This window comes from Homo sapiens, chromosome 17, assembly GCF_000001405.40.
Source record: "Homo sapiens chromosome 17, GRCh38.p14 Primary Assembly".
NCBI lineage: Eukaryota > Metazoa > Chordata > Mammalia > Primates > Hominidae > Homo > Homo sapiens.
The window spans coordinates 52,241,811-52,258,090 of NC_000017.11; positions in this window are offsets into that span (position 1 = coordinate 52,241,811).

Below are 16,280 nucleotides of genomic sequence, written 5' to 3' on the forward strand. Positions count from 1 at the left end.
ACACTGTGGGTTTTTTTTCACTCAGGTATAATATGGAGGTTCAGTGTTCTCTAATTATTGTTGCTTCTACCATCTCATTGAATATATTAATATTTTTAGTTGATGGAATAAGCCCAAGACAGAGATATTCCTCCCTATTTTACCTAAGAGAAAAGTAAAACTTTCATTTACTTTAAAAGTTCAGCTACTTGTTCCGAACTTTGTAAGAGACCTAAATTTAAATACTGGTATGGCTGATGCCAAAGTTCCCTCTTTCTGTTATACCATGTACCCTCTTTAGTTTTGTAATATAAAAAAAAAGGCACTGTTGACAAGAAATTCTTTTTAAATTTTGAAATTTTGTATTTTTCTGTCTTTAAGCATGCCTTCAAAATTCTAATAAATCTAGAAGAAATAGTGATTTAGATGGAAGGAGGCAAATGAGTGCTTTTGCTGATTAACTTGGCATGCAGGACACATTCAGCAAACAATAAATTAAGAATGGTTTTCAGCTTTTCCACATCTGCAAGTGCTTCCCAACAGTCTGTCTTTGAAGACATCTCTGTGTTGAATAATTTTTCTACATGGCAAATAGCTAAGAAAAAAACCCACAGAATGCAGAGTCATTGTCTAACGAGTGGAAAGGCTGCTGAGTTCTCTCCAAGGGACCATGGACCTACGTACAGTGTTCCAGATTCCAGACAATTACTACTTGACAATTCACCTGTGAATTTCTGTGCTCTGTCAAGTCAATACATTCTTAATATGTTCTCCATCTGCCTGATTCCCTAGGCTTCTGTTGCCCAGGGTATTCACCTAAGTTTGAGGAAAGTTTGTGTGAAGTGATTTCCTTTACAACTGTGCAAACCTGAATGGAAACGTGATGGGCCTAACAGTTATGGGTGTAAGAACACCTGGGGGATTTCTGAGAATTCATGTTAACTTCTCTGGGTCCCAGTTCCTTGTCCTGATAGATGGAGTAGATGACTGTTAAATCATACTGAATATATAGGTGTCATATATATCTAGCATATATATCATATTGAGTTCACGTACAATTAAATATCTTCACATTTTCAATTATTCTTGTTAGATGCCAACCAATTAAAACATGTTTCACCTCACTTTTATTCTAGCTTGATGCTAAAATCCTGTGACAAGCCCATTCGTGATTTGTTCATATGTGTCAGTACCCAACACCATTTTTTTCCATGAAGCAGGCATTCAAGAGGTTTGTGAAGAATGAAAGAATGGTAAGCATTCATCTCATAACTCGGTGTCTGAGTTGTCTCATTTGACAACTCAGGATGCTGCTTTGAAGTGGTCTTTTTGTGTTTGACCCTTCCATTAAAACTGCTTTATAGCTGTAAGGAAAATAATTATACAAACTTGGATACCTTCCGTGACTCTTCATTACCCATAGGAAATATTTTAAGTTAATTACCCTAGTATAAAAATGTTGTCTATTATCTCGGGTACCTTTCCCATTTCCTCTCATCACTTTTCACCACAAACTCTGCATGTGAGCAACATCAAACTGATTTTCTTTCTCTCTTCCTTCTAACCTTTACTTCACACACTCGAGGAGTGCCCTGTAACTTGGGAGTAGAGGTCTTCTTTGATGCCCATTGCTGCTTCTAAAATGTACATTTTGTCGACTTTGTAACTCACCCAAGTGTGTATTAATGTCAGTTTCTACAGTCTGCTATCTTTTCTGGTTGCTATAAAGGGATTGCCAATTACTTGCTCTCATGTGTTGTTAATGGGCATCTGACTCACTGTTTTTACTTTTTGCTTTTTAAAATTCCTGCTACTGTGACCATCCTTGGTCATAGTATAGAACAAGATACTTTTTAAAAGTATGTTACCAACAACTAGTGGGGAAAGAAATGATTAACAGTAAAATATTAGTATTTCATCAACCACAAGGATGATGCATCAACCTTGTCCTCTCAGGTCTTTAACAGCCTGTCTTTCAATATTTTCCTTCACCCTATCTCATCTGTCTTCATCAATGACTACCTACTTGAATTTTCATCACTGTTTCTGAACGACCCCTGAGCTCTTGACCTCAGGCATCTAATTCTCTCATCAAAAATTGTATCCTTTCAGCTATTTATTTCATTACTACTAATGGGATCAATTCTTAAATATCATGGAGTTGTTTCTTCCATGGGCCCTGTTATTTTCTCAGTATTAACCATTTTCTTCTTTCCTTACTCATGATATATTTTACGGTGCATCATTACATACTCCTACAGCCACCTTTCTTTCTCTCTATATCTTTTTCTCTTTTGTTGCACTTGCCTGGGAAAATTCCAAACCCGGTGAAATCCAACTTTCCACTTAGTCTGTGTGAGAACCTAAGCAGCAACTTAATGTTTGCTAGACAAACACATACACGTACATACCAGGGGTTGATTGTGTGCCCACCACCCTTTTGAAAACATACTTTTCAAGGTCAATAATATTCTTGCCAAATTGATGCTCAATTTTCTGGCCCTTCTTACCAGTTATCTCAGAAGCCTCTGACTGAGCTTATGGCTCCTTCCTCTGAAAATGCTGCTGGTATTGCGTTCATTATTTTTCACTCTTGTTTTTCCTCCTGTTTCACAGGATGCTTCTTCTCCGACTCTTTGGCAGGTTGCTTTCCTATCCTTTAGCTTCTTGAAGCTTCTCAGGGTGCCGTCCTAATTCCTCTCCTCCAGTCCCATGATACTCACTCTCTTGGTGACATCATCCAGGCTCATATTTTTAAATATAATTTATTCTGAAAAATTATAAAATTATATCTATAGTTCTGGCATCTCCTCTGAGCTCCAGGTTCCTATATCAGACCGACTACTTGCCATTTCCACCAGGTTGCCTAATAGACATCTCATACTTAATATACCCAAATAAAACACTGGAATTCTTCCCTCACAGCCCCCAAAACTCTACCTTTCCAGTATTCCCCATTGTATTAAATGACACCACCATTCGCTGTATTACTTAGGCCCTAAACCTCTGCTTAAATGTACATACTTCAAGAGATCTTTCCTGACTACCAAATTTGGATATTTAGACACCTTTATTTCAAGGTGACTAGGATATTGATGTCATGGGTAGAAGAACTTTGTTTATCTTGCCCAGTGCTTAACAAACTGCCGGCCATACAGTAGGATTGCAATAGTGTTGGGAAATGAATGGTTAATGAATAACCATGCATTTGGCAAAATGAAATTCAATAAATATTTCTTATAAATCTTAGATGGAAGATTTTTTATTTTAGCAGGTTAGCTCTGAACATAATGTCCTGAACAAATATATATATTAGTTGTAAATCATTTAAAAATGCATATGTATTTAATGTAACATATGAAACTTGCTTATTCTCTTCGATAAATATATAGCATTGATACTTTCCTAAGATGCAATGAATTGTATTATCTTAAGGTAATAAAAAAATACAGTGTTACCACAACTAATGGAAAAGCAAATGCTTAATGGTAAAACATTAGAAACTACAATGAAAAAATGATGACCACTAAAATCATTGTTATGCAACATTTTGCTGGAATTTCTTGTAAATGCAATAATACATGAAGAATTTTATATATATAATACATAAATATGTATTTTATAAATGAATATATATTTACTTGTATATTTACACATATACATTGTATATGTAAAATATAAACATATGAAGTAAATATATGTCAAAATTTTTTTTGCAAATTCTAAGTCTAGAAATATAAAAAAACTAGTTGATAAACTCATCATTAGTGAAAGAGTTCAGGTAATACATATATAGAAAATGAGAATAAATCTGTAGATTCTACACATTAATTTGTTAAATTAATGTGTAGAATCAATAGACATTTTTTATTACAGAGGACAAATAACTATACATTTTAGTAATGGTCCCTCATGAAACTGGAGTTTAAAAAATGTAATGAGGATACCAGCTAATGGCATATGCCCTGATATGGTTTAGATATGTGTCCCCACCCAAATCTCATGTTGACTTGTAATCCCCAATGTCAAAAGTAGGACCTGGTGGGAGGTGACTGGGTCATGGAGGTGTTGCTCACGAATGGTTTAGTACAATCCTCTTAGTGCTGGTCTCATGATAGTGAGGGAGTTCTCATCAGATCTGTTTTTTAAAAGTGCCTGTTACCACCCCCAGCACTCTCTTTCTCTCCAGCTGTGTGAGGTGTCTGCTCCCCCTTTGCCTTCTCCATGATTGTCAGTTTCCCAAGGCCTCCCCAGAAGCTGAGCCGATGACAGCATCATGTTTCTGTACAGCCTGCAGAACTGTGAGCCAATGAAACCATTTTTCTTTATCAATTACACACTCTCAGGTATTTCATTATAGGAGTGAAAGAATGGCCTAATACACGCTCACAAGGTAAAAGACCATGGGAGATATTTTGGAAATAGATAAGCAGATAAGAGACTGGTACCTCACTTATTACCAAACCTGAGAAATGTGATTCTAAGCTGCCAGTGGGGAAAACATAAGCAAGCTAATGTATACTGTGGGCTTATCAAAGGCTCAGGAACGAGTGGCAGTAGGTACATGAGGATGGTCAAGTAGTGGGTGATTACGGAGCTTAAAAGAGAGCGAGTGATTGACAGCCTGGCAGGGCTGTCAATGGTGGCTCACACCTGTAATCCCAGAACTTTGGGAGGCCGAGGCAGCCACCCTCACTTGAGGTCAGGAGTTCGAGACCAGCCTGGCCAACATGGTGAAGCCCATCTTTACTAAAAAGTACAAAAATTAGCTGGGCGTGGTGGCGCATGCCTGTAATCCCAGCTACTCAGGAGGCTGAGGCAGGAGAATCACTTGAACCCAGGAGGTGGAGGTTGCGGTAAGTACAGGAGGTTGCACCACGGCACTCCAGCCCGGGTGACAGAGTGGGACTCCATCTCAAAAAAAAAAAAAAGAAAAAGCCTACGTAGACTCCTAGATTCTGTCCCCAACTTCACCCATGTGAGTGACTGCCCTTTCCTATGGTGGTAGCAGAAAATCGGAGGATACTAGGGGGAAGATAACAGCAGGAACCTCCAGGCTCAGTTAAGAGTGCTAGTACTAAAAGAAGGAAATAAATACATGTTTATTCACTGACTACTGAGATCCTCAGCCTTCTTTTTTAGTGGCTCTTGGAAGGCTAAGAATCCATTTGTGCCCTTTAGTCAGGAGATCTTAAACACCTTTTCTGGTTAATGTGACCAGTCCAGGATAAATGACTAAATACTATAACACTGTATTTGTGTGTGGGGGGGCAGGAGGCAACCAAAGTATATGGTTCAGTGAGATCATTCTACTGTGCAACAGGTTCTGCTACTTTACACAGTGTTTCTAATTAACTTTTTAGTTCTTCTTTCTGAATTATGAGAAAACATGAAAGATCAAGGCCAACACAATAGACATTAATGAAACCTGGAAAAAACAGACAATTCCAAGAGATATTAAAAAAAATTAAAAACAGGAGAAAAATAAGATATGTAAAGGACAAAATAGAGGTTTAGGAAATGAAAACTACAATTTCAGTAAAGCAGAATTTAAAAGAAGTATTGACAAATGTCAGAGAGATGAAAAATAGAAGAGAAAAAAGAGAATGTTAAAGGAATTGTCTAAGAAGTACAATGGCAGAGAAGAGTTCCAGAAAAAGACGAAAGAGAAAATGTATAAAGGGACAAAATATGAAGTAATTCCAGAATGAAAAGGTTCATGAGGGACTCAGGTTTCCTGATTTGGAGGGCCCACTGAGTGCCCAGCCAAATGGATGAAAGTCAACCCACACCACCCATGCTGAGAAATTTCAGAACACATTAGAGAAAAAGAACATCCTAAAACCTTCCAGAGGGAATAAAGCAGGTACATGTAAAGGACCAACAGTCTGAATGGCAAAGTGTTTCTCAACAAAGACACTGGAAACTGGAAGCTGTTGTGGAGCTGCCTTTACACTTTTGAGTGAAAATAATTTTCATCTTAAAATTCTATACTCAGGGACATTATCAATGAAATGTGAGGGCAGAATAAAGGCATTTGTAGACATGCAAGGTATACACACAAAAAATTGCCTCCCATGCACTATTTTTAAGGGAGCTACTGAAAGATATGCTCTGCCAAAATACAGTAGTGAAGCATGAAAGGGAAGAAATGGAATCTTGTAAACCATGGATCCAACACAAGAGAAAGATTGCCAACATTAGAGAAAGCTCAAGGGAATAACTGAATTGAGGGAGACCCCACTTCAAGTAGGCCTAAAGTGTACACATCTCCATGGAAAACTCCTACAAGATGAATGTGATAGAACACTTAGTATTTTTTAATGTCTTGAGAGGATTTTGCACCACTGGGAAAGAATATGAAGATGAATTAGAGAGTAGTACATAGAAAGCTATGCCCTGCCTCCTTTCCCTCCCAAAATTCCACCCAAACAAGTACATAAAAACAAGATAATTACAATGTCAGGGAAAATAAAAAGTTCATAAGGAAAGTTAAACTACTCCTCTGCTGTCAATAATATTTACATAAAAATAATGTAAATATTGATTATTGATTAAATAAAAAATAAGATATTGGAAGGATGAGTGGGGAGACTGCAAAGTAAATCTTGGTTTGTACTTTCTACGGGAGAAAAATCAATAGATAATCCTTAAAAATGAAAGTCAATAAATAGTTATATAAGCAGATTACTTAGAAATGTGGGAGTAAATACCGAAAGGATCAGCTCAAAGTGTTGAAGGTGGTTTTGCTCCTGGAAATCAGGAAAGGTAGATGGGGTGTTGATGGTAATGGACTTCTCTTGGTTGTAAAAGCTTTGTAGAGCTATTTGATGATTTATTATCTGTATGTGTATTAAATTTTGATAAAAATACAAATTTAATAACAGAGACAAATAATTATTGAAGAGAAATAACACTTCATAGTAACAACAGAAACAAAAATACCTAGAGATAACCATGAAGAAGAATATGTTGTTGTCATGTGAAGAAAATGGCAACATTTTATGAAAAGAATAAAAATATACAAATTAATGAAGAAATATATCATCTTCCTGGATAGAAAGACTAAATATCTATTTTTAACTTTACTTATAGTTTTAAGACAGTATCAATTGAAATATTAGAAGTTTGGAGACTTTAGTGAAATGATATTAATTTATGGAAAATATAGGATAATTTTGAAAAAGTAAAATAATGGGGGAATCTGCCTTTTCAAATATTGAGTTATTCTAAAGTTCAACCAGAGTGAAATTGACACATTAACCAAGAGACAACTCAATGGAAAATAATAAATAACTGAAAAAAAATCAATTGTTTATATAAAAACTTACGTAAGTATTTAAAGCACCAAAAATAATGTTCAGAAGGTTGATGTTTGAAGTATTAGGGTAGATTGTAGGACATTTTAGAAAATATGTTCTCAAGGAATTAAAGGGTTTAAAATGTTTAAAACTGAAAATATCTTTGAAAAGATAAGCAATATTTAAATTGATTACATGGATAGGATTGATTTTTTTAACAATAAAAGCCAATGGAATGAACTCCAACACAAAGATTATTAGTAGGTTGCACTATATAAAAATAGAAATTTTTGAATGTCAAAAAAAAAAAAAAACAGACAAAAAACAACTCACCCTGTGCTTGCTCAGTCTATTGGGGCTGACTTTAGGGCATGCAGTTGGGGGCTGGCTACTTTGGTGTTGACCCCACATCCCCAACCAGTGATGTGCACTTTACTCTGGCTTATAAGACCCCCTCTCTAGGCTCACTCCTCCACCCAGAGCTAGGCTTCTCTAGCTCCCTCAATTAACACACTGAATTTCTTTAAATAGGTTTATTTCTGTTTTTGTTTGTTTGTTTGCCTGTACATCAGCACCAGACTGTCTTTTACTGTAGACAGGCATGGAGCAGGGACTAGGGGTGGCTATCAGGGGTCTTCCATGAACAGACTTAGCCTTCTCCTTCATTTCCATCATTCACCTCTTCCTCAGGATCCTTCCTGAAGGTCTCCTGGGCAGACGAGATTGTCTTCTGCTTAACTTCTCTCTTGCTTTTCTAGGCTGTGGTTTCCTCTAGTTTGTTTCAATTATCAATATGCCTCCATCTATTTTTGATATCCAAAAATCTGCTGAAGTCTCTACTCTGCTAATGCTCCCCTTGTGTTCTTTTTGTTCTGATTTTATTCCCCCTTTTACTTCTGTATCATCATTTTAATGGGAACTCACAAGAGAGGGAGAAAAACATTGTGTGCTCAGTCTATCACCTGGAGCCAGTAGTCTTTTAACCAGTATTGTGCGAATATTTGATTTAATGAAAAACTACTCTATAATATGTAATATAAAATGCCAAATAATAAAATAATCCTAACAAAATTAACATTTCATTAAGATATTTTTGATAAATCAGTATAAGAAACACTAGTGATTCACTGAACAAAAAGTAAGCTAAAGAAATTCAAATAACCAATAGCTATATGGGAATATTTTTAACTTTGCTAGTAATTAAATTAATGCAAGTACATGTAACAATAAAGTATTCTTTTTTATGTATTAAATAGACTTTTTAAAATTTTTATATTAATACTACGGTGAGTACTGTGAGGTGGCCACTCTGTAGACTTCTACTGGGCATGTGTGCTTGAAATGCTTTGAGAAGCACTTTAGCAAAATGTATCAAAGGTACCTAAATTTCTTCTTCAATACCACTTCTAGGTATCTATCTTACAAATATAATAAAAAGGGTGGATAAATTATTGCAACATTACTAGTTTAATAAAAAATGGAAACAATACAATCAACAATAACAGAATTTTAAAAATAAACCATAAGCTTACATATTAATTATTACATAGCTATTAAAATAATAGTTTAAAGAATATGTACTCTCACAAGAAAATGTGCATAAGTTAGATTTTTAAAACTTACTCCAGAATTCAAATAATATATACAATTATGGTTTTCACTTTTGGAAAAAAAATGTAGATAAACTTCCCTGTATCAATAAGATGGAATTCCCTGCCTTTATGTTTCCTTAGCTTCGTATATTTAGAGCTGGTTACATTTTTCATCATAGCATGTTTAGCTTGGTTGACCATGAGGTATTTGATAGAAGGGATACATTACATTATTCTTTATATTTGTGATTTTCATCAAGGGGCCTGGCGCATAATAGATGTTCCATAAATATTTGTTGAATTGTTAAATGAAGGGAAAAATGATTGATTGAATCAACGAATAAAAGTGAATGAATACTATACCTCTAGACATGGGGAGTTGGTCCTGGTGGGTTGTTTACTGCAGGTAGAATACAGAGGTGAAAAGAAATAGAAATGGAAGAAATACAGGTAAAGTTATTTCTTTGGCCAGAGGAGCAATGCAGTAATATTCAATTAAACAGGGTTATACAAAGAAATAAAGGGAATGAGACCAAGGAAGGATAATAAAGATTCATCATAGTACTATTGAAAATTCACTGGCTTTTACATCAGAAACATTTGGAGTTAAATCTTAGACTCTTCTTGTATTGTCTATGTGATCTTAAACATGCAGTAGAAATAGACATAACAGTTCTTTCTCAGTGGAGATGAAATGAGATAATACGAAAGTTTCTTGGTACTTGGTAGGCCAATAATGAGATAAAGTAAAAAAAAAATGGACAAACTCAAGGAGAGACAGAAAGATAAAGAAAACTAGTTTTTGATAACATGCAACATCAATGCAAAGTATTGGAAGTATAAAGTACTGTCTTAGGGGAGAGTCAGATGTGAAAGCCACTATCTTGAATAATAAGGAAGCATGCATTTTTACCACTGGTCATCTTATAATTTTCTTGCTAGCAGTGAATCTAAATTATATTAGCAAATAGGTAAAAATAACCTTAACAATGTGCCAAGTCTATTAAAAAATATTTTAATACCAGGTCCAATTGAGTGTCACAGTATTTACATGACTTATATCCCATTAGAGTTCAGCAAAAATACTAAAAATAATTATTTATGGTCTTTTTTTTTTTTTTTTTTGAGACAGGGTTCCACTTCTGTTGCCCAGGCTGGAGTACAATGGCACAATCTTGGCTTACTGCAACCTCTGCCTCCTGGGCTCAAGCCATCCTCCCACCTCAGCCTCCCAAGTAGCTGGGGCTATAGGCAAGTGCCACTAATTTTTTACTTTTTGTAGAGACAGGGTTTCACCTTGTTGCCCTGGCTTGTCTTGAACTCCTGAGCTCAAGCAATCCGCCTCCCTTGGCCTCCCAAATTGCTGGGATTACAGGCCTGACCAACTGAGTACCCAGCCTTTTTTATTGATGAGCGTAGGGAAACAGCATTTTTTCATTGGTGTGAGAGGCGGTGGAATAGAGAGGTTCACAATAGTTTTGTTTTCAAGACCCAGCCAAGTGTTAAAGAATATATTTTGGGTTCACCCACATTTTTGTCCATTAGATAATTTGGTTGAGCCTGGACTTTGAAGATAGATGGACCTGGGTTCAAATCTCAGTTTTAATACCTACAAGCTCGGTGATCTTGGAACTAACTGTTAATTAAACTGTGGGAGTCCATTGTTCTCATTTGGAAAGGAAATTAATGGAGTGATTTTCTAGGGTATTGTAACAGTTAATAATAATATATGCAATGTGCCTAATACATTTTTTGGCTTTAGTGAGAATTCAAAATTTCAAAAATTCTTTGAAAGTTGGAGTGGCTAACAGGCACTTGAACAGAAATTGCTTAAAAATGCTTATCCCTATACCATTGCAATTGATGCGTTTCTTAGATTCTGATATAGATTTTTCTAGGCAAGCCTGCAAGGGATTTTTGTCTACTCCCTCGGGGTTTTATGATGACTGTTTTGCTTGTTCTCTATTTGTGCCAGAAATGGTCAGGAAATATTTCACCAGTGTAGAAAGATGCGCCTCTAATTCTGACAACCAGCAATTCTCTTCTTGCAGCACATCTTTTGGACATAAAAGTGAAGAGTTAGAGAAGTACATATACCTCATTCATCACAGCTTCAGAGAAGCAGATGCTATCATTCTAGAATCAAAAATGAGCCTTCGACTTGAGGAGAAAGAGAGAATCAATTATACTGGTGGCATTAAAGCATCATAACAAAGAAACAGAGAAACTCAGAATGAGATCTTATATTTTCTTTAAGTTAAAGAAGTCAAGCTTCCATTCTTTATCCTTGGAAAGAACATCAATGAGATTGATTAAGAAAAGCCAGTTGAATGTTAAAATTATACAGCATTTTTGCAGCTCAGCTGTAATTCATGCACACAGTGGGCGATTACCTAGGCATTGTTCTACAGAAGAAAAAATACATTAATTGCTTCTTCCCTTCCCTCCTTCCTAAAAGCCTAATTAGTGATTTATCCTTAAACTTACTGCTATAAGTAGTTTCATTATTACTTTTTATTTTCATTTTTTTATTTTTTATTTTTTTCTAGAGAGAGTGAGATACAAATTTAAAGTTCTTATTAGTTATGGCAGCCAGTGATAAATTAGTATGACTCATACCAAAACTTTCTCTGGACAGTCTTTGGGGGTTCAGATTTTCCAGAGAGCAAACTAGTTACCTGTGTGGCCCAATATTTATAATAACAAAGAGGTAATTAGGCTTAAAATTTTTCATCTCAATTTTTATTGTTCTATAGCTGTAGCTGATATATACCCATCAAGGGAAGTTTATTTTTGCCAATACTGGAGAAAGGCTTGGCACTTTGCTTTGGCATATCTTACGGCAAACCTCTTTTGAAAGATTTTAGAAATTAACCGAACCAACAAGCATCTATTGAGAATCTATATTCAATGTACTTTTCAAAGGCTCTGTGCCAGTATGTCATGCTGGTCAAAGACTTCACTCTTTATTATAGCCCCAAGAATTTAAGCTTCTCTGTGGATAGCCCTGATCTCAACCACAGAAGAAGCAACAGAAAAATCTGAAGGATCTACCCTCAGGCAGACCCATGCTCAAATGCTGGCACATAAACTTGCTACTGTGTTATGTATTATTAGTGGAAAATAGGAAATGTATCAACTCTCTGGCAAGTATGACTTTTAATTAGAGTCTGAATTAAGTGTTCCTCCTTTGTATTCCCTTAGAAACTTATAAATTGCTTTATCATATGCACTTATGGCTTTTTAAGTTGTTAATTTACAAGTCTAGCTCCATTAAATCATGAGATCCTTGAGGTTTTGGTTTGTGCCTTATTCATCTTTGTAACCTGAGCACTTAGTGCAGGGATGTGTACCTCCTAGGCCCTGAAATGCTTTCAAAATTGAATGTCAAATGTAAATCAGGTTACTGGAATTCAGAACTAGGAAGTATTAGTGCTGGAAATGACTGGTAGTCCATTGTTGCTATGCATTTAATACAATAAAATCTTTAAATAGTTTCCGACTGGTGCATATTTATGTTTTCTGTTAAATTTTCACCATTATGGATAATACTGCATTGATTACATATGTGTTCATATTTTTGCAAACCTATGTGATCATCTCCTTAAGATACTTTTTTTTTTCCCTGGGGCAGTGTCATTTTTAGGTCTGTAGGTTTGCAGTTTAAGATGTTGCTGCATATTGCTATGCTGTCCTCCGGAAAAGTGGCACACTGTCATTAGCAGCACAGACTGTCCATTTCTCCCTGTTTTGTAATCAACATTGGATATTTTAAGTCTTTGAAAATACCTTTCCAAACTGATAAACACAAATTACCACTTTTTTCGGTTTGTATTTTCTGATAGTTAATAGGGTTGCCTAATTTTTCATATATTTATGGGCACTGACATTCCTTCATACATGTATGTCCTTTACTTAGTTTTCTTTTTAACAATTGTTATGACGCTTTATGTAACATAGTTTGTACGCCTTTACCTAAATGTTTTATGAAAATGAATATTGTATCTGACTTGAGGGTATTTCTCCTACCTAGTACTCATTTGGCTCTGATGACTGGAGGAACACCAGGGTCCTTGGTCTCCTGCTGGTTTGAATAAAACAACACAAGACACATGTGGAGTGATTTTAAGGAGTGGAGAATTTAATAGGCAAGAAAGAAGGAAGAGGCTCACCCTGTACAGAGACAGAGGAAGCGGGGCTCCAAGCTGAAAGAGGGAATCCCCAGTGTGGCAGAAAACAGCCAGTTATCTGAGGAGACTGGAGGAGGTGGTGTCTGATTTGCACAGGGCCCAGGGGATTGATTTGACCAGGTATGTCATTCAAGTAGCCCGCAGAAAAACTGGCCTCCCCACCTTAAGGGAGGAGACCACCCCTCATATTGTCTTATGCCCAATTTCTGCCTCCAAAGAAAGAAGTAAAAACTAAAAGGCAGAAATGAAATCCACAGGCAGACAGCCTGGTGCGGCACCCTGGGCCTGGTTAAAGATCGACCCCTGACCTAACTGGTTATGTTATTTATAGATTCCAGACATTGTATGGAAAGCATTGTGAAAATCCCTGTCCTGTTCTGTTCCGTTCTGATTACCGGTGCATGCAGCCCCCAGTCCTATACCCTCTGCTTGCTCAATCAATCACGACCCCCTCACGTGGACCCCCTTAAGAGTTGTAAGCCCCTTAAAAGGGACAGGAATTGCTCACTCAGGGAGCTCTGTTGTTGGAGACGTGAGTCTTGCCAAAGCTCCCGGCCGAATAAAGTCCTTCCTTCTTTAACTCAGTGTCTGAGGGGTTTTGTCTGCGGCTTGTTCTGCTACAACCCTAGGCTTTGAATATGCAAGTGCAGGACGCCATGATGTTCTACACATGTGGGGATATGTGGTGGCGGCCATGTTGCCAGGCGCACATGTGGGGACAAGAAGAAGATGAGGGGAATCGCTATGTTTGGGTGGACCCAGTCTCTAATGGCCAGCATTTGCATATTAAAGCTTGCCAGCGGGGCTTTAAGAGTCAGGGCTTTTCTGCTAGACAAGAAACATTTCTAGAGCTGCTTTAAAAGAAAAAAAAAATTACAAAAACCCCTTTTCCTATCTGCCTAAAATAATTTATTAATAACTCCTATAACAGTACTATAAAACAGAAGACATGTAAATCCACCCTTTGAGCAATATTACAATGTTAAGTGGACATGCTAAATGGGAACTAGTAAGATTGCCTGGCCCACATAGTGTAGAGTGGAAGACGGAGTGCTGGTAAGGACGAATTCTCCACTTGGTAGACCTTTATGGACCATTTACAGGGGCTTAGGTCAAAAGCCTGTGAGCACCTCACAATGACAAATACTGAGACTTTGGACAAGAGAATTTCTACTTCAGAGGTATTTACTGCCTTGCTATGTGATGTTAACTGAAGCTACCCTAATGGAAATGGGGTGCCCAAAAGAGTCCCATGTTAAAATGGAAACAGTTTATAATGGATTTGGCCTCCTGGGGAATGCAAGGAGGAGATACTTATGGCAGGAAGCCTCTTTTTTCCCTAGGACTGTTTCTGGAACTGTGTGAAGAGCTGCCGGATTCTATAGTGCCCAATAAATAGCTCTCGCCTGACTGGCAAAGAATTGAGTGGCTTGTAAATGGCAGTTCCAAGGTGAACAAACTACATTCTGTTTGGAAGACTGCAATTCTGATTGAAGATGAGTCAAGAAAAACTTTTTATTTTGAGCTATTTATATCTTACAAAAATTAAGTAAAGTATATTTTTGTGAGCAAAATTTACTATTCTCTTTACCTAAGTTCCAAAATTTGGAAACTATTTGTGAGTCTTCTTATTTTATATCAATACATTTATTTGCATAAGCTCAGCCAGAATATGTTTTCCTTTGTTACGGGACACAAGTGGAGACATTGGTTATTTTACCAAGGCTTTCACTGAAATGACATATTTTCAGATATGACCAGATTTTGTGGAGAAATTGAGGTTGACTTTATACAGCTGATAAAAAGCCCCTTGGAAAGACTGGCCTGTTACATTGTCTCAATGGTTCCCTTCAAGATTTCTGACGTGTATGTTAAGTAAAGATTATCACTTTCTAACAGGCCCTGGAGCTTCAAGATATTTGGGGACATTGAGAAGAGGGGAATTTGTACGGGTGTTATAAGCACAGTCTAATGGTGGATACTTGGGTTGGCTTCTGGCCTCAAGACTTTTAAAAGTCAAATCTCAAATTCCTTCTAAAAGTTCTAATAAAGCCACCTTAAAAGGAGCCTATATGGCTGACTACTATTCTTGCTATACCTGATGCAAATTATAATGATACTAAAATTTATTTTGCAAATAAATTGGTCCTACTATGATTTATTCTTGGTAGAAATGGGGAACCTGAAGGGAGAAAAATTTAGAATCTAGCTCTGCCCATTGTTTTGAGTTTTGATTATTTGCCCACAATTTGGGCTAACCCTGAATTATTGCTTGGCTACAGGTAGTCTCTAAAAAAGAAACAGGTTTTAATTTTCTTCATGATAATTTCAGTTGGTTCCTTAATGGAATAGGTTCTTTGTTGTTGTTGTTCTGGCATACAAATTTTCTTTTGATTGTAATCCTTGTGTACATTATTTTTCTGCTATTCAAATTGTTCATGTTATGTGACTCTCATTGTTTTACTTCTGTGAAAACCAAAGTCATGATATTGTGAAGACTAGAGATGATTCAACAGCCTGTAAATCTACTGCATTTGGAATTTCACTGGCCTGATTGGTTTTCCATTGCCAGTGCACTGCTGCTTAACCTCTACCATATCAAGCACCCTTCCTAAAGGCTCAGGGACCATCACAGAAGAGGAGGGCATGTGAGATTGAAAGAACCAAATTGGAGTGTGGGTGGAGGTGGAGCGTAGAAGCCAAAGGGACTCCAACTTGGATGCTAACCCAACAGATTGTCTTTGGATTAACCCTAGCTCTGGGAATACCTCTAAGATTTCCAGATTATCTATTATTCCTTGTGTAAGAGCACATACTTACCATAAATCCTGCCCTTAGTGCAAATTCATACCCATTCCCTCTGAAGCCCCTGTACCCCTCCTGTACAGTCTATATCTGTGGTCTGAGGGGGTAATGGTGTGAAGATCCACCATCTTGTCTTGCTGCTGATCAAGACACAGACATGGCTTCTATTCCTAAGTCCCCAGTAAATGTTTCTTTCTAAGGAAAAAAAATAAAATAAATGTTATGTTTATCTTTTTCTTACTGATTTGACATATAAATGGAATCATACAATATGTAGCATTTTTGGTTTAGCTTCTTTTACTTATCAAAATGCATTTGAGGTTCATTCATGTTGTTTTGTAAATCAACATTTTTTTTGTTTGTTTGAATTTTCAGTGGATAAGAACTACTCCTTTGTATCATAATTTGGTCAT